Here is a 3,788-nt window from a genome sequence, read left to right as displayed (position 1 = left end):
CCCACCCTCAGGAGCCTTTCCCAATTGCTCACACTGACACATGCAACCCCATGACACTTTGGATCACATGAGTCTGCTTCATTCTGCTGCTGTTGGAAATGACTTCTCTGCTTTCTGTCGTCACTTGCTTAGCAACAGTCTTCCCCAGTGACCTGCTGAGCTCAGGGGTGCAAGGAGCTTGTTTTGTTTCCACATCCCCCCTATGCTGAGGGTGCAGCCTGGCACAGAGTAGGCACCAGTCAGCATTTGCCAGATTAATTGTCTGTCTTCAGGATGGGTGGTGGAAGAAGTGAAGGAATCTTTTAAGACGACATTTATACCTAATGAGAGATTCCTGGCGTCGAGGCTGGTTTCAACATGGGGTTTCAACATGGGGTCTGCAGAAGGTGACATGAAGGCCTGCAGGACCCCTTCAGGCCCCCTCAGGCTGATTCTTGGATTAGGAGTGATTGCTGGTTTCCAGACTCGCTGACATCTGACAAGTCGCCATCCCTGGGAGGTTTGCTTGCTCTTTGCCAAAGGATTCCCTTCAAATCTCCGCCTGGCTCTGACCCAGATGAAGGGCACCAGCTGCCCAGCTCGTTCCCTTCTACAGTGATTCACAGCCATGAACACCTCCCAGAGGGGCCTCCTCAGACATCCCTGTCCTGTGGGTCTGGGATCTGATGACCAGGAGGGGAGCAGTTAGGATGACTCCAGTGTCTCTGTCTCTGAATGTCACACATTTGGGTGGGGAGGGAAGGGTAGAGAACCTGGAAAGACCACCGCTGGCCCCATTCCCTGAGGTGCATATGTAAGAAGCACTGCCTAAGTGCCTCCTCCGTGCCAGGCATGGTGCCCGTGCTGGGCTTCATCAGGGCACAGACGTGTTCCCATCTCATGGCACCGGTGGAGGGTGACAGTGAAGACACAAACTCGCAGATGAATTAGACTCTGACCTGCAGCGGTAGGTGCTGTAAAGGAGATAAATGGAGCCTGGGGCTGACAGTGACTCAGCTGGGGGCCACATTAATGAAGTGACCAGGAGGATCTCTCTGAAGAGGTGGCATTTGAGGCCTGGAGGATCAGAAAAAGACAGCTGTGTAAAACTCTGGGGCAGTGTTCCTGGCAGAGGGAAGAGACAGTGCAAACGCCCTGAGGTGGAAAAGGGTTCAGCAAGTTCAAAGGTCAGAGAGAAGGTCTGTTTGGGGTGCCCTGAGGTTGGAGCAGGACAGAGAGGCTGGCAGGGAGCAGTCTTGAGTGCCATGATGAGGAAGGAGGGTTTCGTGCAATGTCATGAGCATCATAGATGTCTGAGCAGGGGGCACTGTGACCTTCACACTCCACAATGAGCTCTCTGGCTGCCACATGGACAACAGGCTGGAAAGGGCAGGAGTGGACCCGGGAGAAAGGATGAGGCTGGTGCAGTAGCAATTATGCCCATCAGGATGGTCAGGGGAAAGAAAAGTAGTGCAAAAACGTCTCTCCTTCTCCTGTAGCCCATGGTTATCTCCTAAACAACTATGCAAAAGATAAACACCCAAACGCTCCAGCAAAACCCAAAACCAAAACCAAAGCAACATCCCCATGGCTTCTGAAGGTAAAGGGTAGAGATGAATATCTATGAAGCATTTACCACCATGTGTTTGAGGAGGAAAAGATAAAAATCTTATGATTTTGTTCCCTTGAGGACCTTAAATATCAAATTGAAAATATACTGTATTTCAAAATGGTGTTTCCCCAAAGAGTGGAGGGGTGCCCACCAAAGATACGTGAGATAGGCCAGGCGTTGTGGCTCTCAGCTGTAATCCTAGCGCTCTGGGAGTCTGAGGCAGGTGGATCACCTGAGGTTAGGAGTTCAAGACCAGCCTGGCCAACGTGGCAAAACTCCGTCTCTACTAAAAATACAAAAATTAGTTGGGCATGGTGGCGGACATCTATAACACCAGCTACCCAGGAGGCTGAGGCAGGAGGATCGCTTGAACCCGGGAGATGGAGGTTGCAGTGAGCCGAGATCGCGCCACTGTACTCCAGCCTGGGTGAAAGAGCGAAACACCGTCTCAAAAAAAAAAAAAAAATGATATGTGAATATGTGAGATGATTTTGGGTGGTTCCTGAACCAGCATGAAACGCTGTGGAATCCCACAGTGTGAAATGTATTCCCTTGCCCAGTGTCTTTCAGTCTCTCTGAGATAGTCATGGAGATAGTTTCAGTTCAATGCTCATGTGACTTCAATACCTCTCTACTGCTTGAGAGAGACAAAGGTGAAACTGCCTTCACACAAATTATAACTGAGGAAATTATGACAGTCAAAGACATCACACCTAACTGACTCTATCTTGCTTCTAACCTTTAAACTGCCCTTGTTCCTTGCTGGGCACAGGCCAAACTAACTTTGAGAAAGAATTCAGTTCATGATTTGACTCAAACAAAATTGGTTATAGCCTTTTCTTGCCTGGGGAGCCGTCTGCCTTTGCAGGACTAACAAATTACAGCCTCTGGCTGCAAGAGTCTGAACCTCCCCAAATTGCTCCTGGGAATAACATCACTGTTGTAAAACCTAAGATCAGCGCTTGAGATATTTTGCAGCCCCTGCACTTGATGGATCAGCTGACACCACCCAGACCGGTCATCTGCCTCAACCAGTTCCGCCGTCCCACCCAGGAACAGAAGACAGCATGAAAACCTCACTTCTACCCCCATGATTCCATCTCCAACCTGACCAATCAGCTCTCCCCACTTTCTGAGCGCCTACTTACCAAATTATCTTTAAGAACTCTGATCCCCGAATGCTCAGGGAGACTGATTTGAGTAACAATAAAGCTCCAGTCTCCCGCACAGCCGGCTCTGCATGGGTTACTTTCTCCATTGCAATTTCCCCTGTCTTGATAAGTCGGCTCAGTCTAGGCAGTGGGCAAGGTGAACCCCTTGGGTGGTTACAAAGGGAGCACAGGTTTCAGGTGCATCGTCTTTAGCAGCCTCTGGCTAGAAAGTAATAACACGGCTCTGTTTTTGTTGTGTGTTTTCATGGATACTCTTCTATTCATGGAAGTGATACTGATTTTTCATTTGCAGTAGTGGAATATCAAAGTTCCTTTAAAAAATTCTAAAAATGTAACTGATTTAGAGATAAATTTTGACTAGATCAGAATATAGATGAGATGCAGCTATTTCGAAAGTCATGACGGAGGCAGATGCAAATCAGATCATGTCACTCACATCTCGGCTCACTGCCCTGAACCTTCCAATGGCTTCTTCCCTCACTCAGAAGCAGATCCACACTCCTGGCTGTGGCCTGGAGAGCCCCACATGATCTGGGCCTCAGGTAGCTCTCAGACCTCCTCTCCTCCCTCTCTGTCACTCCACTGTGGTCACACTGACCTTTCCCAGCGCAGGGACTCTGCACTTGCTGTTTTCTCTGCCTGCACTCTCTTCCTCTAGAAATGTGTATTGCTCATCACTCAGTCCATCCAGCTCTCTACACATTTCTCCTCCTCCTAGCAGCCCTCCAAGACCACCACATCTAATATAATTCCTCCCGTGACTTTCAGGCCCATGGTGTGGTCTCATCCAGGGGTCCCCAACTTCATCCAGAGCATGAAGTGAGGGGATGTGTGCAGGATCAAGTGGCTGGGGTAAAGTAAGTAAAGTAATAATAACTACCAGGTGATATTCACAACCCATATTAGTGCTACCAACAGCCACATCTGCCTGCTTCTCTGGGCCCAGGATTGTCTGCAAGCTCCCGGTCCTAGGTGGGTCAGCAGAAGGGTCTGACATTATGAGAAGGAGCAGCTTGTCCAGCTCA

The 3,788-nt window shown here is 49.4% G+C and overlaps 1 annotated feature.

Moving 5' to 3' along the window:
- Window positions 3,246–3,385: an enhancer, noted in NCBI's record as "active region_18018". NCBI's record gives its function as "activates an Ori minimal core promoter by ATAC-STARR-seq in GM12878 lymphoblastoid cells {active_cell/tissue: GM12878}" and the evidence as "EXISTENCE:reporter gene assay evidence [ECO:0000049][PMID:35858748]".

The sequence above is a fragment of the Homo sapiens genome, chromosome 20 (genome assembly GCF_000001405.40).
Source record: "Homo sapiens chromosome 20, GRCh38.p14 Primary Assembly".
Lineage (NCBI taxonomy): Eukaryota > Metazoa > Chordata > Mammalia > Primates > Hominidae > Homo > Homo sapiens.
This window is presented reverse-complemented; position numbering and strand designations above follow the sequence as displayed.